This window comes from Homo sapiens, chromosome 10 (genome assembly GCF_000001405.40).
Source record: "Homo sapiens chromosome 10, GRCh38.p14 Primary Assembly".
Classification (NCBI taxonomy): domain Eukaryota; kingdom Metazoa; phylum Chordata; class Mammalia; order Primates; family Hominidae; genus Homo; species Homo sapiens.
The window spans coordinates 84,298,753-84,324,785 of record NC_000010.11 but is presented as its reverse complement, the minus strand read 5'-3'; the positions used below and the strand labels follow the sequence as shown (position 1 = coordinate 84,324,785).

The following is a 26,033-nucleotide window of genomic DNA, read 5'->3' as shown; positions in this document are numbered from 1 at the left end:
CTGGTGTAAGTCCAAGAGTCCAAAAGCTGAAGAACTTGGAGTCTGATGTTTGAGGGCAGGAAGCATGCAGCATGGGAGAAAGATGAAGACCAGAAGACTCAGCAAGTCTAGTCCTTCCGTCTTCTCCTGCCTGCCTTATTCTAGCCGTGCTGGCAGCTGATTAGATGGTGCCCACCCGAATTGAGGGTGGGTTTGCCTCTCCCAGCCCACTGACTCAAATGTTAATCTCCTTTGACAACACCCTCCCAGACACACCCGGGAACAATACTTTGCATCCTTCAGTTCAATCAAGTTGACAATATTAACCATCACAAGTTCACCCCTTGTCAACCTTGAACCCATACACATCTCCTGAAATCATACATAATCTTCAAATAAAGATAATAATAAGGTCATAATTATGCCTAATAGAATACAGCCATCCTTCATACAACCGGAAGTGTACTAATCCTTAACCTAAATGCTATTTCGTAAAGTTAACAACACTTAAATGCTAATATGAAGTCAATAAATCTTATGTCACATGACAAAGGAAAAATAAAGGAAATAAAACGAAGATATTTTCTTAGTACAAGTGTACACATGCACAAACATGTTCTTAACAAAAGAAGGAGGAAAGACTAATGACAATTACAGTCCTCGTTGCTGCAACTGGTCATGTGGTCGTAGCTGGTCTTGACGACTACCTTCTTCTACTATTCATTCTGTATTCCCCTTGCCCTCAGCAAGCACCTCAACAGGTCATGGTTTTTTACCTGGTAGAGTGACCCAAACCTTCATTCATGAAGGGTCTGGGCTATTTGTATTCCTGCCTGAATTGGGTTGTTGTAGTTTCCCATTGACCTTAATCATAGGGCATGGTAATACTAAGAGACACCCTAATGGATCTCCTGTATTCCATTCATATTCTTCTTTACCTTCATTGTTGAGTAGTAGACTGATGTCATCTTGGTAGTATGGCTCAATCAACCCAGCCAACACTGTAACTCCCTTCTTAACCTGTTGACTTAGAGGTAGGTGGAGCCTAAAGTGGCCAGGTGGCAATCTTAACTTCCAGCTTAATGGAATCATTGTTGTGTCTCCTGGTGGCAGCATTCCTCTTTCTGGAACTAACACCTCCAGGCCAGCAAGACATAACGTTGCAGGAACAGGAAGCAAAAATTTTGCTAGTAGGTCACTAGGGATGATGATGAGTGGAGGTGATGGTGAGTGGTGCTACTTCCACTTCCACCCCTTAATTCCTGGATCCATGAATCCTCAAGGAGAAATCCACAGGAGAAATAGTGTCATACATTGGATGCGGATTCAGGGTATACACATCCTGCTGGAGAACTTTTCCCCAGCCCTTCAAAGTATTGTCACCTAGCTGACATTGTAATTGTGACTTTAAAAGGCCATTCCACCATTTTATTAATCCAGCTGCTTCAGGATGATGGGGAACATGGTAAGGCCAGTGAATTCCATGAGCATGAGCCCACTGCTGCACTTCTTTAGCTGTAAAGTGAGTGCCTTGGTCAGAGGCAATGCTGTGTGGAGTAACATGATGCTGGATAAGGCATTCTGTGAGTCCACGGATGGTAGTCTTCGCAGAAGCATTGCATGCAGGATAGGCAAACCCATATCTGGAGCAAGTGGCTATTCCAGTGAAGACAAACTGCTGTCCTTTACATGATGGAAGAGGTCCAATATAATGAACCTGCCAACAAGTAGCTTGCTGATCACCCCAAGGAATGGTGCCACATCAAGTGCTCAGTGTTGGTCTCTGCTGCTGGGAAATTGGGCAGTTAATGGTAGCCGTAGCCAGGTCAGCCTTGGTGAGTGGAAGTCCATGTTGCTGAGCCCATTCATAACCTCCATCCCTGTCACCATAGCCTCTTTGCCTGGCCACAGCAGGCAAGATGCCTGTACATTGGCAATCTTCCCTTCATCTCTTGTGCAGAGTGCACAAAATAACAGCTTTAGATAAAATTCAGCCCACAGGTACATTTTGTTTGGCCACACCATGATTTTTAAAATTTGAATTCATTACCAAAAATTTAAAAGTTGATGAATTTCACATATTTAAAAAATCCACATTTTCAGTTCTCTCCAATTGGCCAGAGTCATATAAGGCCCTTTTGTCTACACTAACTCCATCCACTCATTTGCTTGCCTGGTTCCTGTAAGCATTGCAGTCTGCCAGCCTGCTATAGAGGTTCCAGAGAGAGTATGGATTCTACATGATTTAGCTTACAAATTCATGGAGAGTTCACATTGCTTCCATGTTTTCCTCTCCTGTGAAGGAAAAATTAAACTAACATGATTGTGAACCTGATATGCACTAGATTTTTTTTTTTTGAAAATTGTTGTGGTAAAATACACATGACATTTACTCCCAACCATTTTTAATTGTATAGCTTGGTACTATTAAGTACACTCATGTTGCTGTGCAACCATCACCACCATCCATCTCCAGAACTGTTCTCATCTTGCAAAACTGAAACTCTATACCCATGAAACAACAATTCCCCATTCCCCTCTCCCCCAGCCCCTGGGAACCACTGTTCTACTCTCTGTCTCTATGAATTTCATTACTCTGTGTGCCTCATATATGTGGAACCATAGAGCATTTGTCTTTTCATGACTGGCTTAGTTCACTTAGCATAATGTCTTCAAGATTCATTCATGTTGTAGGGTGTGTCAGTATTTTTCTTTTTAAGGTGGAATAACATTCCATTGGATGCATAAACCACATTTTGCTTATCTGTGCATCCATTGGTGGACACTTAGGTTCCTTCCTTCTGTTGGCTATCATGAATAATGCTACTATGAATGTGAGTGTGCAGATATCTCCTCAAGACTGTGCTTTCCATTCTTTTAGTTATTTACTCAGAGGTGAAATTGTCGGATCACATGGTAATTCTTTTTTAATTTTTTGAGGAAATGTCATACTGATTTCTATAGCAGTGTGTGAGTCCATTCTCGCATTGCTATAAAGAAATACCTGAGGCCAGGTGCGGTGGCCCACTCCAGTAATCCTAACACTTTGGGAGGCTAAGGCAGGTGGATCACCTGAGGTCAGGAGTTCAAGACCAGCCTGGCCAAAATGGTGAAACCCTGTCCCTACTAAAAATACAAAAAATTAGCCGGGCGTGGTGGTGTGTGCCTGTAATCCCAGCCACTTGGGAGGCTGAGTCAGGAGAACCGCTTGAACCCAGGGGGCGAAGGTTGCGGTGAGCCGAGACTGTGCCACTGCACTCCAGCCTGGGTGACAGAGTGAGACTCCATCTCAAAAAAAAAAAAAAGAAAGAAATACATGAGACTAGGTAGTTTACAAAGTGGCTTAAGTGGCTCACAGTTCTGCAGGCTTTATAGGAAGCATGATGCTGGCATCAGCTTGCCTTCTAAGGAAGCCTTGGGAGGATTACAATCATGGCAGAAGATGAAGGAGAAGCAGGTACATCACATGGCAAAAGCAGAAGCAAGAGAGAGAGAGTGAAGGGGAGGGATGCCACACACTTTTAAATGACCAGATATCTTATGAACTCAGAGTAAGAGCTCACTTATCACCAAGGGGATGGCCAAACCATTCATGAGGGATCCACTCCCATGATCCAAACACCTGATATCTTATGAACTCAGAGTAAGAGCTCACTTATCACCAAGGGGATGGCCAAACCATTCATGAGGGATCCACTCCCATGATCCAAACACCTCCCACCAGGCCCCACCTCCAGCACTGGGGATTATAGTTCAACATGAGATTTGGCGGGGACATATATCAAACTATGTCAGTGACATAGGCAGACCTGCAAAAGCTAAGAAATATGTTTTTCTTGTGAGAATTAAATGAATTAAATATCATATAAGAAGCAACTGAAGTTAATCACGAACATTAACATGTAGGCTAACAATAGATCCTTAAGAGACTTAATTATTTAAAAATTCTGAGTATGACTAGTTTTGTAGTTATAAATTTGATAATCTCAATGAAAGAAAAATTTCCCCTGAAAATTATCAAATTTAATTCAAAGTGGAAGAGATCTGGAATGCCTTTTTAAACTCTAAAAGAAACTGTTGCCCAGGTGCGGTGGCTCACGCCTGTAATCCCAGAACTTTGGGAGGCCAAGGCAGGTGGATCACCTGAGGTCAGATGTTCAAGACCAGCCTGGCCAACGTAGTGAAACTCCGTCTCTACTAAAAATACAAAAATTAGTGGGGCATGGTGGCACATGCCTGTAATCCCAACTACTTGGGAGACTAAGGCACGAGAATTGCTTGAACCCAGGAGGCAGAGGTTGCAGTAAGCCGAGATCATGCCACTGCACTTCAGCCTGGGTGACAGAGCAAGACTCCGTATCAAAAAAGAAATTGTTAAAGTTACTCAAAAAATTGATACAATAAAAGATACTTAGATACTTGAATATTTTAAGTACATTATTTCATATTTTCAAGGAAAAACTAATTACCACAAGAAAACTGTGAATCTGAAAAATAACTTGTACTGAGAATACTTAAAGAACTCACCAAATTAATAATGAAAAGACAAACAACCCAAATTTTGAAATGGGCAACTGTAATAAATAGACACTTAACAAAAGAAGACACATAAATGAGCACATAAAAAGGTGCTTAACATCATTAGTCACCAAGGAAATGCACATTAAAGTCCAATGACATCTCACTTCACATTAACATATAATTTGGCTAAGAATTTCAAAGGACTGACAACACCAAATGTTGGGAAGAATATGAAACCCCTGGAACTCTCTCATATACTGCTGGTGAGAATTTAAAACGATAAAACTATTTTGAAGCTCACTCTGTTAGTTGTTCATAAAGTTAAACATGTCCTTGCTGTGTGATCCAGCAACTTCAGTTTTAGGTATTTACTCAAGAGAAATAAAAACATATGTCCACAAAATGACTTAAGTGAGTATGTTCATAAAGGCCCAAACTGGCAATAATTACTTGTTTATGAACAGGTAAATGGATAAACAAATCGTGGTACACACATACAAGAGAATAGTAGGTCAGCATTTAAAAGGAATGAACTACTGAGACATGCAACAGAAGCCAGACACTAAAGAGTACATACTGTATTATTTCATTTGTATAAAATTCTACCACAGAAAAAATTAGCCTATGATGATAGAAATCAAAATAATGGTTGCCTTGGGGGCAAATGGGAAGATGGTGAAGGAAAAGTCGCATGATAGTATTTTCTGGGGTCCTGGAAATGCTCTGTGTTTTGATTGACATGGTGGTTTCATTGGTGTATAAATTTGTCAAAATTCATTGAACTATTCAAATAAAAGCTGTTCGTTTTAATATAATAATTATACCTCAATTAAAGAGTATTTTTTTTTTTTTTGGCTAGGCATGGTGGTTCATGCCTGTAATCCCAGCCCTTTGGGAGGCCTAGATGGGTGGATTGCTTGAGCCCAGGAGTTGGAGACCAGACTGGGCAACGTGATGAAACCTTATCTCTACAAAAATTAGCCAGGTCTGGTGGCATGCACCTGTAGTCCCAGCTACTGGGGAGGTTGAGGTGGGAGGATCACTTGAGCCTGGGAGGTTGAGGCTGCAATGAGCCATGATTGCACCACTGCACTCCAGCCTGGGCGACAGCAAGACCCTGTCTCAAAAAAAAAAAAAAAAAAAAAAAAAAGTATTTTTAAAAGTCTATTATTTCCTCACTGGTTTAAGATGCTACTTTGTCATGTATTACCTTTTCAAATTCAATTTAGTCTATTTTTATATTTTAAAATGTTCTATATATTGAGCCATTATCAAAATGTTTTCTTTTTTTTTTTTTTTGAGACGAAGTCTTTTTCTCTCACCCAGGCTGGTGTGCAATGGTGCTATCTCGGCTCACTGCAACCTCCCCCTTCCCGGGTTCAAGCAGTTCTCCTGCCTCAGCCTCCTGAGTAGCTGGATTACAGGCGCATGCCACCACGTCTGGCTAATTTTTGTATTTTTAGTAGAGACGGGGTTTCGCCATGTTGGTCAGGCTGGTCTCGAACTCCTGACCTCATGATCCGCCTGCCTCAGCCTCCCAAAGTGCTGGGATTACACGTGTGAGCCACCTTGCCCGGCCTCAAAATGTTTTGAATACAGAAACTGAATAATATATTTTAATACCTGGTAAAGCTAGCCCTCAGCCTCTGCATTGGTTTTTTATTTTTTTCCATGAGTTTTCTGGTTATTTTTGTTTCTCTGTTCTTCCAAATAAATTTTATAATCAACCTATCTAGTTCCAGGTGAAAAGGTAGATGGCATTTTTATTGGAATTGCTTTATATTTATTTATTTTTTATATTTTTTGTAGAGACAAGAATCTCACTATGTTAATTAGGCTGGTCTTGAACTCCTGCCCTCAAGCAACCCTCCTGCCTCAGCCTCCCAAAGGGATAGGCATGAGCCACCTTACCAAGCCTGCTTTGCATTTATAAATTAGTTTTATAATACCTTATTTAAAACCTCATCTTTATAAGATTGAATCTTCTTATCCAGCAACTTGGCATGTCTTTCTATTTTTTCAAATTCATTTTTGTGAGTTCAGAATTATTTTGTAGTTTTCATCTTTTGGACGTTATCTCTTATTTTTATGCCTGGTATTTTGTGTGCTGTAATAAATGGAGTCTTGTTTTCCACTATGTCTTCTGTTTCTAGTTTGTATGTATGCATGTCTTTGGTGTTTATATGTTAATTTGATTGTAAACATTTGGTACTTTACTACATTATCTTGTTTGTATGAGTTTTCTCACCAATTCTTCAAGGTTTTCCAGACATAATCATGACCTCTGTAAATAGCATTTATTGGCTAATGCTGCCAACATTATGTTTTATAGTACAGGACATAATGAAATCTTTGTTTTTTTCATTGCTTTAGCAGAAAAGCTACTAAGATGCTGACTTTTGGGCTATGATACATTTTTTATCATGTTAAGGATATAGCTATCAATTCCTAGTTTACTGAATGTTTTGTTGTAAAAAAAAAGTACACCAATATTGAATTTGCTAAATGTCTTTTCTACATCTGTAGAGATGATCATATATTAATGAAACACTTTGCATTCTCAAATTTCAATTTGACATTGAAACACTGCATTCTTAAAATCAACCCCACTTGATCACAATGCATCATTTAATCTGCTGCCAGGGTCTATTTTAAGTTTTCTGCATTGAAATTCTTAAGGGAGAATTGTCTGTGGTTTTCTTTTATTGGAATAAAAATCTTTGAAATTTATTCCAAACAAATCTGAAATATATAGGAATAAAAACAATGCAATCTTTGTCAGGTTGGGGGATTAATAGTATAATTAATAGAGACTCTTGTCTCTACAAAAAATACGCTTCCTAAAATGAAATGTCCTGAAATAGTTTAAGTAACAATGGAATTAGCTGATCCTTAAAGATTACGTAGTCCTTTGTGATATCATTTGGCTTAGTGTTTCTTTGTTTTTATGAAAGAACTATTCAGCCTTTTCATTTCCTCCTCAGAAATTAGTTTTAGACTTTCTGTTTCTACTGGTTTCAATTTTAGTAAGTTGTATTTGTCTAAAAAATACCCATTTCTTCCAGATTTTCATACTTATTTGCACAGAGTTGAACAAAGTACTTTCTTCTTAAATTGCTTTCTATTTTTTATGCTATTATTTCTATATTTTTGTATTTGTGTTTTCTCTTCTTTAAAGCTTAAATTAGATAAGAGTTTGTGTATTTTTTGTGTTTTTCAAATATCTAGCTTTTAAATTTATTATTTTTACTCTTCTGTTTTCCAAATCATTATTTATAATTTTATCTTTATTAATTCCTTTTTTGCTTCTCTTGGTTTTACTCTGCCATTTTGTTTTCTATTTCAGACATTAAATTTATTTATATTTATGCTTTCATTTTTATTGCGCCAGATACTTAAAGGCATAAATTTTCCTGTAATAACTGCTCTTTGGGAAAAATTCTCAAACCATGTTTTCCCTCTGCTTTCACACCAACACAGCAATCGACACAGAAAATGTCTGTGACCAAATGTGTGAAGTTTTTTCCCCACCAACAAGCAGTGGACACCAGCTGCATATTCTCCAATTCCATTCTGATACTATCTACTTGGAGACAGCATCAGATCCCACAGGTTGAGGGCTCTCAGTCCCTTAAGCTAGTCTCCCTCCCTTTAGACACCCAGTGGCAAGTCCGAGACTCTGGAACTTCTGACTGATCGGCTTCAAGTTGAGGTTCCCAGCTGGGGATGGTGGCTCATGTCTGTAATCCCAACACTTTGGGAGCAGGAGGATCACCTGACGACAGGAGTTTGCCATCAGCCTGGGTAACACATTGAGATCCCATCTCTATTAAATAAAAATGTTGGGGTTACATGACCCTCTTTGGATTTGATTAATTTGCTGCAGTGGCTCTTAGAACTCAAGGAAACACTTATATTTAATGGTTTATTTTATTTTATTTATTTTTTTCTGAGATGGAGTCTTGCTCTGTTGCCCAGGCTGGAGTGCAATGGCATGATCTCAACTCACTGCAAACTCCACCTCACAGGTTTAAGCAATTCTCCTGCCTCAGCCTCCAGAGTAGCTGGGATTACAGGCCTGGCCACCATGCCAAGCTAATTTTTGTATTTTTAGTAGAGACGGGGTTTCGCCATATTGGTCAGGCTGGTCTTGAACTCCTGACCTCATGATCCACCCGCCTCGGCCTCCCAAAGTGCTGAGATTACAGGTGTGAGCCACCACGCCCGGCCTAATGGTTTATTTTAAAGGATGTAACAAAGGATACCGATGAAAAGATGCATAGGCAGAGGTAGGGGGGAAGGGGTGTGCCACTCCTCAGAAACTTCCATGTATTCAGCTACCTGGAACCTCTCTGAACTCAGGCATCTTGGCTTTTCATGGAAGCTTCGGGACCTCAGCATTCTTCCCCCAGGGAATGGAGTGGAACCCTCTCTGGAATAAGGGTTTTAGGACTCACAGTCAGAAACGAGGAAAGATTAGAGTCCTGCCTTTGGGCAGGTGAAAGAAGGGGAGGAGAAGGTCAGAGAGATTCTGTTTCCTGAGACTTAACACACCCAACATTGTAACAGAAGACTAACAAAAGTTATGGGAGTTATGCGCCAGGAACTGTGGACAAAGAACAATATACATATCATAACAACAAACACAGCTACTTTAGCATTATTACAGAGATTATATGTCTTGGTTTTATTATTATTTTCAAGAAATTCAATAATTTTATTTTTTCATTTTCCAAGGAGCTGCTTAAAGGAGTATTTTTAAATTACCAGGAAAAAGGAATTTTCAGATTAAAAAAATCTGTCATTAATTTCTAGTTTTATTGCATTATGATCAGATAATGCAATTTTTAATTTCTTTTCTTTTCTTTTTTTTTTTTTTTTTTTTTTTGAGACGGAGTCTCACTCTGTCGCCCAGGCTGGAGTGCAGTGGCGCGATCTCGGCTCACTGGAAGCTCCGCCTCCCGGGTTCACGCCATTCTCCTGCCTCAGCCTCCTGAGCAGCTGGGACTACAGGCGCCCGCCACCACACCTGGCTGATTTTTTATATTTTTTAGTAGAGACGGGGTTTCACCATGTTAGCCAGGATGGTCTCGATTTCCTGACTTAGTGATCCACCCGCCTCAGCCTCCCAAAGTGCTGGGATTACAGGCATGAGCCACCATGTCCGGCCACAATTTTTAATTTCTATTCTTTGGAATTTCTTGAGATTTTCTTGGTGGCCTAATATTTGGTCAATTTTCATGAATGTTTTATGTTCATTTGAAAAAGAAGGTAATTTCTCTTTTATACATATACAGAATTCAATATTGTTTGGTAGGATCTGTTATTTTGCCCTCCCCATTTAACAACAAATAAGAAACCAAAATTGCAAGACACTAGAGGACAACCTCTAACATGGAAAATAGAGACCCAGGCAAATAAACCTGAAAGGATCTGGAAACTCCAAGAGGAAGAAAACTAGCCCCCTTATGCTTCATTCCTAAAAACTATAAGTGATACATCCAGAGAAATAAGAAAAAATATTGCATCCATGAAACAAGAATAAATGTCATAAAAAACACAAAAGAGTCCTTCAAAATGAAAAAGATATAGCAGTGATGAAAACTCAATAGAACGGCTAGAAAATAAAGTTGAGGATATCTGCAAATGGGAGCAAACAGAAAAAGAGATTGAGAATAGGAGAAAAAGATGATCTTGAAAGCTTGCCAAATTCCTGGGGCACTAAGGGGAAGCCCCTCACTGGCAGCTGAGCTGTGAGGAGGTTTCGTGGTGGGACATGGGCTTAAGGGGTTCCCCACACTGGGCAGGGCAGACAGGGGACATGACCACCGCTGTAGACTCCTTTCCCACCACTGGGCCTGCCCTGCTGAGTTGCCTCTTGGTGCAGGGCGCCCCTTCTCTGGTCTGATATCCCTCCTGGGCATTTGTCCAGAACCCCCTAAAGCCCCTTCCTCCATTCAGATCTATTCCAGGCCACACACCACCGATGGGACCATTCATCAATGGCCAGGTTCCCAGCCTCAGGACCCAGAGACCTTGGCCCTGTTCCCTACTCCCAGTCATGTCTTAGGGTGCCAGCTCCAAATCTCTCTAGTACCACTCCTGCAAACACTCATTTTGCCTCCTTTCTCTCATAATAAGGCTTAACATCCTCTCAGGTAACGCTTCTCAAAAAGGAGCTCTAACTGTTAACGATGAAAAAAGTGTCTTCGCTCTAAGTTAAGGAGCACCCACCAGTCTTCAGAAACACAAAGACCAATCTCTACTTCTATTGATGAGAGAGGAAATGCCTCCATTCCTTCCAGATGAGTCACTATTCTTGAAGGTGGACAGAAGGCTACTTGTTAAAGCAGCAATATGCGGGCTTCATTTTTATACCCCACAATAAAACGTGGAATTCCAAGTGTCTCTTAAAACAAATGCAGTAAGTATATGCGTAATGAGGTGGGAAACTACCAGGAAGTATCTTTGTTTTTTTTGAGACAGAGTCTCACTCTGTCACCCAGGCTGGAGTGCAGTGGGTCAGTGTCAGCACACTGCAACCTCCGCCTCCCAGGTTCAAGCAATTCTCCTTCCTCAGCCTCCCGAGTAGCTGGGATTACATGTGCCCACCACCACGCCTGGCTGATTTTTGTATTTTTAGTAGAGACGGGGTTTCACCATGTTGGCCAGGCTGATCTTGAACTCCTGACCTCAAGTGATCCGCCCGCCTCGTCCTCCCAAAGTGCTGGGATTACAGGCATGAGCCACCACCCCTGGAAACTACCAGAAAGTATCTTTAAGTGAAAAAACAAGTTTCTCTGTGCCTGGGAATTGCACAGCCTCACCACCTTGCTGTAAATCCTGGCTCTGCCACTTGTCACTTCCATGTTGTGAGGCTTTGGGCAAGCTACTTTATTTTTCTGTCCCCTAGTTTTCATGTTTGTAAATGGGGAAAAAATTAGGTTGCTATGAGAATTAAGTGAGCTTATGTATGTAAGCCTGGCACGTAGGAAGTGCTAAATAACTAGATATTACAACATGCTCCCATTTATGTGAAAAATTTAAGATGTTACCAAGAAATAGGCTCACTGTCTGATGCACATAGAAGACAATACTAGGGCACCAGCTTTTGAAAAAATAAAAGGCTCTATTGCAAGGTCAACCAGCAAGGGGCTTTACTCAGATCTGTTCCCCCCATCTGGGGCTTAGGTCAAACTACTTTTTTGTTGTTGTTGAGATAGGGTCTCACTAGGTTGCCCTGGCTGGAGTACAGTGGTGCAATCACAGCTCACTGCAGCCTTCACCTCCGATGCTCAAGCCATCCTCCCACCCCAGCCTCCCTAGTAGCTGGGACTGCAGGCACACGCCACAACACCTGGCTAATTGTTAAATTTTTTGTAGAGACAAGATCTCACTATGTTGCTCAGACTGCTCTTGAACTCTGGGCCTCAAGCAATCCTCCTGTCTTGGCCTCCCAAAGTGCTGGGATTACAGGTGTGAACAACTGTGACCAGTCTAATGTATATATTTTTTATTTTTTTATTTTTATTATTTTTTTTTTGAGATGGATTTTCACTCTTGTTGCCCAGGCTGGAGTGCAATGGCGCGATCTTGGCTCACCGAAACCTCTGCCTCCCAGGTCCAAGTGATACTCCTGCCTCAGCCTTCCAAGTAGCTGGGATTACAGGCATGTGCCACCATGCCCAGCTAATTTTGTATTTTTAGTAGAGATGGGGTTTCTCCATGTGGGTCAGGCTGGTCTTGAACTCCCAACCTCAGGGGATCTGCCCGCCTCGGCCTCCCAAAATGCTGGGAGTACAGGTGCGAACCACTGTGCTTGGCGAGTAAATTTTTTTATACTAATAACATATTTTCATGTTATACTTCTTTTTATCCTTTTTTATTCTTTTTTTTTTTTTAAAGAAAGTCTATCAACATGAATTTTAAGAGGACACAATTCAGCCCATAATGGCAGGAAAAGAGAAATTCCTTTATTTGACTGTAACTAATCTGGATTTTTTCCTGAGTTTCTCTCTATTCGCTGTTTTTTGAGAAAAAATAATTACAAAATATTAATCTATTTAAAACTTGGATATAGGTGATCTTTCGAATAATACTGTTTAAGAAGTCTTCAATGTTGTATAAAAAGGCCCAAGATCTCAATGGCTGCCTCCGGTTTTGCTTTTCTTTCTAAGATGGTGTCTAAACATATGGAGAGAGGTTGTAGCTTTCAATACGTTATGGCAGCATTTGGGAGAAGTTGTGCTGCTGCACTAGGAAAAAGTAGAGAGTTGACCTGCTGTTTTGGGGCAAATGGGGTTGCCAAAAGCCCATGGTAAGAGGGGAAGCCAGCTGGACGTCCTGGGTCGAGTGGGGACTTGGAGAACTTTTCTGTCTTTCAAGAGGATTGTAAAACGCACCAATCAGCGCTCTGTGGCTAGCTAGAGGTTTGTAAAATGCATCAATCAGTGCTCTGTAAAAATGCACCAATCAGTGCTTTGGGGCTAGCTAGAGGTTTGTAAAATGGACCAATCAGCACTCTGTAAAATGGACGAATCAGCAGGATGTGGGCAGGGACAAACAAAGGAATAAAAGCTGGCCACCGCAGTCAGGAGTGGCAACCCGCTGGGGTCCCCTTCCACCTTACGGAAGTTTTGTTCTTTTGTTCTTCACAATAAATCTTGCTGCTGCCCACTCTTTGGGTCTGTGCCATCTTTAAGAGCTGTAACACTCACCAGGAAGGTCCACAGCTCCATTCTTGAAGTCAGCGAGACCACGAACCCACCGGAAGGAACAATGGGACCAGGTAATATTTAAAAAAGAAAAAACACATTTATGGCAGCAGGGAAATATTGGGGTCATCAAGTGGGATGTCTCCTGCTTCCTTTGGTTGTTGAAGCAGTATCTCCTGCCTATCTTTCCAGGCAGAAGACTCCAGCCACAGTTACAAGAAACATTTCTCTTGGCTTGTTCAAAGCTCAGTAGCTCTCCCTGATGCTCAACCTCATTCTCAGACAGTGGACCCTTCTGAGGTCTGCCTGCCAGCCAACTCCGTCCCATCTGGGAAGTTGGCCCAGTAACGGGCCAGGTAGGAAAGGGATGATGGATGATCCCCAGTCTAGGAGAACTGAGGACATTGTGAAGAGGACTCAGGATTCCCAGTTGCCATGCAGAGGTTATAGCAAATATAACTTATGTGAGCTGGCATCTGGCTCAGCCTGACATAGTGGATAGGGCTCAGAAGCAGCTTCTCCAAGCAGTGTGGATACCCTAAGTCAGTTGGCAGCCCCTGAGCACTTCCTGACCCATTGGGCTTAGAGCTGGGCTGGGGACCAGGAACCAGCAACCCAGAAAGGCTTCTCTCAAAAACTACGAAAATTGCCCTGGATCTTTAAGTTGGGTAAACATGCCCATGCCCCGCTGCCCAGTGGTGGTGCTAGCGATGGGGAACCATCAGTATAGTGACCCAGTGCCACCTCCCTCACTTCTTCCCAACTGGCTCCTATGCCAGTTCTGCCTCCAATTTCCTTGGTACTTGGGGTCAGCTGTGGAGAGGATCCTCATCCCAGGCCTCTGGCCAGTAGCCAGTTCTTCCAACAGAGATCAGAAAAGGATGAATGCCTCTGAGGAGTGAGTGGCCTGCTCATGTGGGGAGAAGCTGGAAGTCTGTTCCTGCTACTGTGACTCAGCAGGTTAGGCTGAGGCTCTATGCGCATGTAGGTTCCCATGGAGTCAGCTGGGTAACCTGGGCATATTAGAATCAAACCTCTTGAAAGAACAGTTCCAAAATCCTCTGTATCTCTCTGCTCCATTCTACCTGCACACTCCATGCACCTCTCTGGCTCATGCACCGAGCAGGGTGGAAGTTTCAAGCTGAAGTATTTCCTACAGGTTGGAAAGGCAGGAAATAAGAATAGCAGATACCTTTAAAACCAACATCTATAAATTAACTATTGCCATTGCTGGCAGCAGAGGTTCAAAAAATAAACATTAAAATATATTTATTTTCTTTCTTTCTTTTTCCTTGTTTTTAAAGAGATGAGGGCTTGCTCTGTCGCCCAGGCTAGAGGGCACTGGCCTGAACATAGCTCACTGCAGTCTTGAACTCCTGAGCTCAAGTGATTCTCTCACCTCAGCTTCTGGAGTAGTTGGGATTGCAGGCATGCACCACCATGCCTGGCTAATTTTTAAAATTTTTTTGTGGAGACAGGGTCTCACTGTGTTTACCAGGCTGATCTCAAACTCCTGATCTCAAATTATCCTCCCACCTCAGCCTCCCTAAGTGCTGGGATTACAGGCATGAGCCATGGTGTCCGGCCTTAAAAATCTATTTCTGATGGGATGGTAGTTCATTACTTAGGATAGATAGAGATTTAAATTTAAAAAAAAAGCAAAATTCAACATGACAGAGCTGTGACTAGATCAGAATTTACTTCTCCCCCATGGAAAAGTCATGATGAATGTGGTCCAAGGTTGGTATGGGGGCTGGATTCCTTCAAGTTTTTTTGCAGTCCCTCATTCCTAGACTCTGGCCCTTGACAAAGATTCTTTTCTTGGCCAAATTTTACTCAAACTCCTCTGAATTCTTTCTTGAGACAGGGTCTTGCTCTGTCACCCAGGCTGGAGTGCAGTGGTACAATCATGGGTGAGCTCACTACAGCCGTGACCTCCTGGGCTCAAGCAATCCTCTTCCCTCAGCTTCCCAAGTAGCTGGGACTACAGGCATGCACCACCATGCCTAGCTAATTGAAAAAATATATATTTTTGTAGAGACAGGGTCTTGCTGTGTTGCCTAGGCTGGTCTCAAACTGGTGACTCAAGCAATCCTCCCACCTTGAAGTAGGGAGCAATCCTCCCTCCTGAAGTGCTGGGATTACAGGGGTGAGCCACCGGGCTCAGCCCCTAAATTCTTTTTTAACCAAGTCTAACTTTGGGACTTTTGTGTTTGTCTCTGCATTGAATTAGGGTGGAAGAGGCTAAATTTTTAGGCGGTGGTAATTACACAACCCGCTAAGAGGTCCCATGCTTGAAACTTACATGTATGATGAAGGTGTAACAAAATTGAGATGCCATGCAGCCCTGGGCCCTGAGAAGGATGCTGACTGTTTCTTGTGCAAAGTGACCCCTTGTTTATCTTAAAAGAGAAGCATGCATATTAAGCAGGAAGGATTGCTGATTTGATATCGCTGATCTTGGTCCTAGTGGTATAAATGCCGTTTATCTGATATGGCTGGGAAGGTTTTGTGAATCTGGGCTCCTTGCCAGGCACCAGCATGTCATTGTTGAAAGTCCTCAGACTCCCTTACAGGAAGAGCCATTTCCCTTTTCAGCTCGGTGGTTCTTCGGAGAAATGAAAAGTTCTGTGGTTAGAATGGCTCATTCCTCTCCATCACTGGCAGGAAGGCCAGGGAGAGGGGTGGGGATGGTGCAAGTCTCTGAGGAGGGTGGGCAGAGGGTACCTCTCGTTAGAAACTGCAGTACAGGGAGCAGAGGGCAGGTTTGGAGACACTGCCAGAATGGCCCAAGACATTTTTTTCCAAGAGTCAAAGCCAAAGAAAAGTGATAGCAATAACAAAAATGAGCAGCTCTCTGTGCACTGAAATGGAGCACTTTCCAAGCTATGATGTCAATGGGGAAATGCCAGATACCAAACAATCTGTATAGTATGCTCAATCTGTATAGAAGAAAAGAAATATGTGTATATACATAAATATTTATAAATTCACAGGTCATCTCTGGGAAGATACTCAAGAAACTGGTAACAATGGTTACTTTCACAGAGGAAGATTCCATTACTATGAGATGTGGGTGAAAGGGGACTTAATTTCTACTGTACATATACCCTGTGTAGCTTTTTGATGCTGTACCATGTACATAAAATACCTATTCATAATAGGAAATCAATACAAATTAGAAAATAATAATAAGAAAACACAACTGAAAAGTACCAGAATCAGTGGTTGAAGCAAGCAGGCTTGAGGGAGGAAAGAGCAGGCAGCACTGGGAACAAGAATGTGAGATGCAGAAAAGCCAGGAGTTGGGACCACAGTGTGATGTGAATAAGCCATGAGAGCAGGTGGGTGAGTGAGCATCAGAGAGAGGGAGCTGTTCTCTGGGGCTGAGCATTCGTGGGATAGGGGGATGGGAGCAGACAGTTAAACTCCACCATAACTCACTTAAAATGGTCCAGAAAAATTCAGTCTTGTAAAATGTATGGGATCATGTTATTGAGAGGCTAATGAGATGAAAAGATGCAGGACAGGTCTTGTAATTGTCTTTTTTTTTTTTTACGTTATCTAGAATCATTAAGAAATAAGGTGGCTTTAGAGAGCCAAATTTTATCCTTTTTTCCAAAAAAATTATTTTTATTTTTCTAGAGACAGGGTTTTGCTCTGTCACCCAGGCTGGAGTACAGTGGCATAATCATAGCTCACTGTAAACTCAGCTTATTGGGCTCAAGTGATCCTCCTACCTCAGGCTTCTGAGTAATGGGGACTACAGGTGCATGCTACCATGTCCGGTTAATGTTTTAAAAAAATTTTCGTAGGCTAAGCGCAGTGATTCACACTTGTAATCTCAGCACTTTGGGAGGCAGTGGTGGGAGGATTGCTTGAGCTCAGGAGTTCAAGACCAGCCTGGGCAACAGTAAGACCCCATCTCTACAAAAATTAGAAAAATTAGCCAGGCATGGTGGCACACCCTTTGTCAAGAAGACTACCAGTTACCGGGAGGCTGAGGTGGAAAGCAGTGAGTCATGATTTTTTTTTTTTTTTTTTTGTAGAGACAAGGTCTCACTCTGTTTCCCAGGCCGGTCTCAAATTTGTGGCCTCAAGTGGTGATCCTCCCGCTTCAGCTTCCCAAAGTGCTGAGATTACAGCCATGACCCACTGCACCTGGCCAGGACAAGTGTTTATAGCTGGGAGTTCCCCAAATCCATCCAGGTCCTGGCCGCATTTGCTGCTATCTGTAACAAAGATTCTGTCCTCGACCAAACCTGAGTCAGGCTCCTCTGGCCCTTCTTCTTGACTAGGTCCCTACCTTAGCCTCTGTCTTTGGGCCACTTAGTCCAGCAAGATCCTGCTGAGTCAGTTTAGTGGAAGTGCCCCACCTTGGTAGTTGATTACTCTCAATATCTGATCAAATTCCTCACTCCCCACCCCCAATTCACATTATTTATCATGCTGGCCTGCCTTTAGCAAATAAGAATCCTGTTAAGTCAAAAACAAAAGATAAAAATGGCTGGTGAGGATATGAAGAAAAGAAAATTCTTGTGCACTGATGGTAGAAATGTAAATTGGTGCCACCATTATGGTAAATAGTATGGTAGTTTCTCAGAAAATTAAAAATAGAACTACCATATGACTCAGCAACCCCCCTTCTGGGTATTTATCTGAAGAAATTGAAATCAGGATCTCAAAGAGATACGAGATACCTGCACTCCCATGTTCATTGCAGCATTATTCACAATAGCCAAGGTATGGAAACAACCTACACATTTCTGTATGAACGAACAAGGAAAATATAGTATAGATTATGGAATATTATTCAGCCTTAAAAAAAAAAGAAAATACTGCCATTGGGACAGCATGGATGTATCTGGAGGATATTATGCTAAATGAAATACACCAGACACAGAAAGATAAATACTATCTGATCTACAACTTACATGTGGAATCTAAAAAACTCATAAAAACAGAAAGTAGAATGGTTATTTCTGGGTGCTGGATGAAGTGGGAAATGGGGAGGTGATGGTCAAAGGGTACAAAATTTCAGTTAAGAAAAATAAGTTCTGGAGATCCACTATACAGCAGATGCCTATAGTTAACAATACCGCATTGTATACTTAAAATTTTCTAAGACGGTGGCTCTTACATTAAGTGTTCTTACTACACACATACATGCATGCATACACACACACACACACACAAATAATAATAATAATAATAATAATAATAAAGACAGAGGAAACTTTGGGAGGTGATGGATATGTTTATGACCTTGATGATGGTGACAGCCCCATGGCTGTATATTCATCCCCAAACTCATTGAGTTACATACATTATATATGTACAGCTTTTTTCATGTCAATCATGCCTCAATAAAGTGGTTTTTCAAAAAAAAAAACAGTTGGTCTAGCAAGAGTCCCCCTAGCTTTGATGTTTCCTCTGAGGAATTTTCCATCCACTAACTCCCATTTCACTCAGCTAAACATCACATTTGTCCTTCTTGTATTTACAGTGGAGCTTGATCTCTATCCTCCACACTGCAAAACCCTCACTGCAGTAACTCCTCTTGAGAAAAGCCTTCCTACCATCCTTAACAAGTGTCTTAAGTAATGTTTCTTTAATACCTGCTAGTAGATGACTGCCTCAACTTAAATATGAGGGCAATGCTAGGTTCTATGGCTGACTTAGACATCCAGGACAGAAACAATCATCTCAGGTGTATTAGTCCATTTTCATGCTGCCATAAAAAACTGCCCAAGACTGGGTAATTTATAAAGGAAAGAGGGTTCAGCATTTCTGGGGAGGACTCAGGAAACTTACAATCATGGTGGAAGGCAAAGGGGAAGCAAGGCACCTTCTTCACAAGGTGGCAGGAAGGAGAAGTGCCAAGAGAAGAGGGAAGAGCCCGTTATAAAACCATCAGATGTTGTGAGAACTCACTATCACGAGTACAGCATGGGAGAAACTGGCCCCATGATTCAATTACCTCCACCTGGTCTCTCCCTTGACACATGGGGATTATGGGGATTATAATTCAAGATGAGATTTGGGTGGGGACACAAAGCCTAACCATATCATCAGGAATCTCGAGGCTCGTAGGTATCCAGTTGATTGGGGAGAATGGGTCAGGAGAATCCTGGGAAGTTGGTAGTCATGTTCTCTTCATTTCATTGCCCAATCTCTCCTCCTCTTAACATCCTCCTTCCTCTGTGGGAGATAAGAATTTTAGCTTGCCCCATTTGAAAAGGAAGAGAGAGTTCAGAAGAGGGAAGAAATAAAGCACCAATCTCAATAGATCTAAATATGCATTGTCTTCAAATTCACATTATTTATGGCACAAACTACAGCAGGATTTTCATGTCTTTAGAAATTAAAAGACAGTGATAATACTACATGTTGAAGTAATGGATATAGTCAAATCATATAAAAAGATAAGCTTCTAGGCTGGGTGCAGTGGCTCATGCCTGTAATCCTAGCACTTTGGGAGGCTGAGGCAGTTGGATCACCTGAGGTCAGGAGTTTGAGACCAGCCTGGCCAACATGGTTAAACTCTGTCTCTACTAAAAATACAAAAATTAGCTGGGCGTGGTGGTGGGCGCCTGTAATCCCAGCTACTCTGGAGGCTGAGGCAGAGAATTGCTTGAATCCGGGAGGCGGAGTTTGCAGTGAGCTAAGATCATGCCATTGCATGCCAGCCTGGGCAACAGAGCAAAAACTCCATCTCAAAAAAAAAAAGGAAAAAAAAAGTATAAGCTTCTAGCTTCAGATGTTTTATTATATAAGAAGAAAGATGCGAGGTGTGGTGCTCCTGTGAAGGGATGGTGGAGGTGGTAGTGGCAGAGAAGGCCTCTACAGTAAAAACGGCACCTATGGCATGATCCCATGTGTGTACAATTACATACTTCTATGTGAGTGTGAAATATATCTTTAAAGTTCAAAATGATGAAAACAAAAGAAACCTTCCATTCAGGATGTTAGGAAAAACAAGGAAAAAAAATCTAAAAATGAAGAACATAACTGTAGGAGACCAGAATATGCTACCCCAAAATATGACTGTAGGAAACCAGAATATACTGCACCAAATATGCTTCTTTGGCATAAGGATTATCTTGAGCTGATTATTTTCAGCAACAGTGGCCACAGGAGAAGCTCTGAAACAGAGTATAAGTTACGCTTTGGTAAAGGAAATTTAAATTTATAGAGGAAATCTCCATTAGTAAGAGTGTCTTCTTCTCTGTACCAGGAAGAGAAGGATGGCTGTGAATCACAAGATATGCAGCCATAAAAAAGAACGAAATCATGTCCTTTGCAGCAACGTGAATGCAGCTGGAGGCTATTACCTTAAGCAAATTAATGCAGGAACAGAAAACCAAATACTGCATGTTTTCACTTATAAGTGGGACCTAAACATTGGGTACTCACGGACATAAAGATGGCAGCAACAGACACTGAGGACTACTAGAGGAGGGGGAGCACAAGGGTTGAAATAATATTAGGCACTATACTTAGTACCTGGGTGATGGGATCAATTGTACCCCAAACCTCAGCATCATGCAACATACCCATCTAACAAAACTGCATCTATGCCCTGAATCTAAAATAGAAGTTGAAAAACTGAAAACAAAACAAAACAAAACTCTACTAAAAAATATACTTTAAAAAAATCACAAAAATACAAAAATTAGATGGGTATGGTGATGTGCACCTGTAGTCCCAGTTACTCAGGAGGCTGAGGCAGGAGAATCACTTGAACCCGGGAGGTGGAGATTGCAGTGAGCCAAGATCGCACCACTGCACTCCAGCCCGGGCGACAGAGCAAGACTGTCTGTGTCAAGGAAAAAAAAATCACAACTCTAATACTCTAATCCATTGAGAAGGCTCCAACTTCAGTCTGCATAACCTCTCCTGGTCACCTGGTTTTCTGGCTACCTTCCCATAGCTTGCCTCCCTCACACCTTTCTTCTTTTGTTTTAGCTTAAAGCCATGTCTTTGGTATCTCTTATCTATTTATTAGATATATATGTTAATAAACTTCTGTTTGTTAATCTTCTTTTTGGTACAGGATTCCAGAGAAAACCTAGAAGGGTAGAAGAAAAAATATAATAAATATAATAAGGTATTACATATAATTACCCTATGTAATAAAGGTAACATAATTATTGAGTCTGAAAATAGGAAAAAAGTAAAATTAATAAGTAAAATCAAATAAAACAGCATAAACAAATAGACAAATTCTGGCAAATGTAATGACGAAAAATAAAACACAATTACTATGTGTACCAGAGACATTTTGAAAACATTAAACTATATATTTTTAATATTCTATAAATTATATTCCCCAGAAGCCACTCTGCCATTATGGCCCCAGGGAAGGTGACCAAATGTCTACCCCCCGCCCCCCCCCCCGCCGCCACACACACACACACAACAAAACAAGGCATTAACAATGAAGGAGTGACTTCCAGACAAGAGGGAAACAAAAGAAAGGCTCTCTGGTTCTGGGAGGAAAGTGAGGAGTAAGAAAGAGATGCATAGGATGTCAGATAACAGTGACCCTGCGTCTATCTCTCTACACATTCAGGTTTAATGTTAAAATGGAGGAAGATGGCAGATAAAAATTACCTTGGAACAAAAGCCTGAAGTAAGGGGGGTGGGTGGGGGGAGCTTGTGTTTCTCTTCCCAGTTGGTGCTTTGGAAAGGCGCCTCTGAAAAGGAGCCCTCATATCAACCTGGGGGAGAGGAGGCAGCATGGGATGTCCTCAGAGGGAGGGCTGTAGGAACCACTCCCCCTTCCCCACTCCAATTTCCCTTATGGAAAACCAGGAATCTAGGATATCTCTTAAGCTCTTGGTAATGTGTGGGGAGGCAGCTCGGTTGAGAGCCAGAGACCAGCCAAGGTACTACCTTGGTGAGAGCAAAGTGACTGCACAGCAAGGCTGTGGTGAAGATGTAGATGAGGGTACTCATTTCCAAAGTGTGGCTTTGGGACCTGCCTCACCTGGGAGCTTGTTAGAAGTGCAGACTCTCCATCCCACCCCAGACCTACTGATCAGAATCTCTGGATGTGGTGCCTAGGAGTCTGTTTTCACAAACTTTCCAGGTGATTTGCATGCATGCTGAAATCTGAAAGCACCAGCCTAGACAGACTGGCCAGGAGGCTGATGACAAAATGGTCTAGGCATGGAGGGCTTGCAGGAGTTTGCACAGGGAGGTTCCCATGAGGCCAAGGTGCCTGCTCCACTCCATGGCCAGATGTGACAGGGCACACAGCTGGGGAGGCTGCTGAAGACACGCTGTACTCCCCATCAGCCCAGACGCTGATTTCAGAAGTAGGAGACTGAATATTGACAGAATAATCAGAGACATAAACCAGAAGAGATTGCTAAACTTTTAAATGGCACATCTAAGTTTTCCTCATTATTACACACAATGGAGACTATCTTATGATCATTGCAGAGAAAATTAAAAGCTATACTCTTTGGACCTGAGTAGACTGTGTGAGCTTTTTATCTCAGCACACACACAAAACTTGGAATAATAAAATGCTGTTTGTGATGGACAATGGGTACTAACAAAGAGTAATACAAACATGAAAAGGAATACTAGGCAGCCATTAAAAATTATTGTTGACTTTTTTCTTAAATGGAAAAAGAAAACTATAAATGATCTACTCTTTTTTTTTTTTTTTTGAGATGAAGTCACGCTCTGTCACCCAGGCTGGAGTGCAGTGGCACGATCTAGGCTCACTGCAAGCTCCGCTTCCCAGGTTCACGCCATTCTCCTGCCTCAACCTCCCAAGTAGCTGGGACTACGGGTGCCTGCCACCACGCCCGGCTAATTGGAATATTACCCTTTTCCCCCAAAGATAACCACAATATATTTGGTGTATATATTTCAAATCTCTTTCCTGTGTGTGTGTGTGTGTGTGTGTGTGTGTACGTATATGTATGTGTATATATGTATATATGTGTATATATACATATGTATACATATATACATATATATATCTTTCCTTTGTGTGTGTGTATACATACATGTATACATATATATATACACACACATATATACGCATATACACAAAATATACACTATATACACACATAACTCCAATGATCTATTCTTAACTGGTAAAAAGAAAACTATAAAACAGTATCACAAAACGAATTTTTCTAAGGAGTTATGTGTGTATATAGTGTACAAATATATTGTGTGTATATGTGTAAATATGTGTGTGTATGTATATGTATACATATGTGTATACACACACACGCAAAGGAAAGAGATTTGAAATATATAGCACCAAATATATTACGGTTATCTTTGGGGGAAAAGGGTAATATTCCAAGTAGCTTTTGTTTTCTTTTTTTGCTCATGTGCATGGTCTATTTTTTTCTTTAACGAATATGAATTTTTGTGTGTGATTAAGTTGTATAAGGAGGTTTATTAAAGTGTGCTTTAGGAAAAAGAAATCCTATATTTAAAATGAGGATGGCGGCCAGGTGCGGTGGCTCACGCCTGTAAGCCCAGGACTTTGGGAGGCAGAGGCAGGTGGGTCACCTCAGGTCAGGAGTTGAAGACAAGCCTGGCCAACATGGTGAAACCCTGTCTCTACTAAAAATACCAAAATTAGCCAGGCGTAGTTGTGTGTGCCTGTAGTCCCAGCTAGCTACTCGAGAGGCTGAGGCAGGAGAATTGCTTGAACCCGGGAGGCAGAAGTTGAAGTGAACCAAGATCACGCACTGCACTGCAGCCTGGGCACAGAGCGAGACTCTGTCTCAAAATAAATAAGTACATAAATAAAATAAAATGAGGATGGAGTCTTCTTCTTATTATTATTTTTATTAGAGACAGGGTCTTACTCTGTCACCCAAGCTGGAGTGCAGTGGCACAGTCATAGCTCACTGCAGCCTCAAACGGTTGAACTCAAGGGATCCTCCTACCTCCTACCTCAGTAGCTGGGATTTCAGGCACCAGCCACCTAATCTGGCTAGGATTGCTAAAAAATAGTAATAGCTACAATGTGTTATGTGTTTATTAAGCAGTGGGTCTTGCTCTGAGCACTTTGCATGTATTTATTTATTTAAATCTCACAAGTGCCCTGTGAATTAGGTACTCTTATTACCTTATTTTACAGAGATAGAAGCTGAAGCTGTGTGTCCCCGCATGTCACACAGCTGGAAAGTGACAGAGTCAGGGTTCTAGTTGAGAAAATAGGATTGATGCACCTGTACTCTTAGCCAGCACAGTGTTGTGTTTTAGATATGCCGTTAACATGGTATAGCCACACAATGAGACCAGATAGCATTTGCACCAAATTCCAAAAGATACATATTGCATAAAAATGCCCACAAGATAATTTTAAATGGAAAAAGCCATACACAGAGCTGTGTGAAACTGGAGAGTTGACCTGGTCTTCCCCAGTCAGGGCCAGCTGCCTCTCATGTGTGGAAGTAGAGAGAAGGTTCTGACCCATGGTTCAGGAGGGATCCTCTCTGGGGGTCCTCAGCATCAGGAGCTCTTCCCTGCTGGATGGCTGGAAGAGCATGACCTGCTGGATGGCTGGTCTCTACCAGGTCACCTGGGCCCTGGCTGCTGCTGGTCCTCCAAGGCAGCACAGGGATGGTAGGGCAGTGCATGAGGCCCCTCTCCTCCAACCCCCTTGCAAGCCCCAGGGTATCTGCTTCCTACAGCAGCCATCCCAGAAGGCACATTTTCATTTTACAGATGGTTGGGGCAGTTTTTCTTTATAGATGTATAAATTTTTAGTAAAAGTTATACACAAACATGGCTAAGAGTTCTAAGAGGATACATGATGAAGATAATGATAAAGCACTGCTTTGTGCCACCTCTGACCATACCCTATCTCTCCCCAAGCGTACACTCATAGTTGTAGTTTACTAAATTCGGACATTGCTGCTTTACCTCCTATAGATCATGATTTAGCCCTCTTACATCACCCTCCCCTCTCTTCATTCTCCCAATGTAGCTCTATTTCTATTTTTGGTCAAATCAATAAACAGGCTACCTTATTAGGTCCACACTGACAATGTTCTTTGTAGAGCTAAGGAGTGCGTTTTGACCACATTGTCCTTCTTGTATAGCTCTGTGTCTTTCTTTTCTAATGTCCTAACATTCTTTCTTTTCTTCCATTAGACAATAAACACAAAAACAAAGTCTCTGTGGTATCAGATACAGAATTATCTTCTTTTTTTTCTCCCCCCAGGAGAAAAAGCTCCCTTCCAATGACCTCTGTCTTCCTACTACAATCTGGGCTGTCCTGACATAATTTGGGGGCTTTGATTTGGGCAGTTGAGGAAGAAGATTTGCTTCATTGAAGGTAGTGATTAGCACTTCTCCCCAAAATCCAAAGGGATGGGGGCAGGTGTGGTGGCTCACGCCTGTAATCCCAGCACTTTGGGAGGCCAAGGAGGGCAGATGGTGAGGTAAAGAGTTCGAGACCAGCCTGGCCAACATCGTGAAACCCTGTCTCTACTAAAAATATAAAAATTAGCTGGGTGTGGTGGCACACGCCTGTAATCCCAGCTACTTGGGAGGCTGAGGCACAAGAATCGCTTGAACCCAGGAGGCAGAGGTTGCAGTGAGCAGAGATTGCGCCATTGCACTCCAGCCTGGCAACAGAGCGAGACTCCGTCTCAAGAAAAACAAACAAACAAACAAGACAAAGGGACGGCAATGGGTTGATGGGCCCCTCACAGAGGGTGTAACTGAGGACACATCCCAGGTCCAGCCTTGCTGTGGTGATGCATCGTTCTTTAAACCTCCATTCCGTTTTGGGCAACAGAAGCCCCCCGTCTGAACAACAGG

The 26,033-nt window shown here is 42.0% G+C and overlaps 1 annotated feature.

Moving 5' to 3' along the window:
- Positions 9,872-10,750: an enhancer, noted in NCBI's record as "NANOG-H3K27ac-H3K4me1 hESC enhancer chr10:86073792-86074670 (GRCh37/hg19 assembly coordinates)". NCBI's record gives its function as "activates a minimal SCP1, AML or CMV promoter by ChIP-STARR-seq in naive H9 embryonic stem cells {active_cell/tissue: H9 hESC(naive)}" and the evidence as "EXISTENCE:reporter gene assay evidence [ECO:0000049][PMID:30033119]".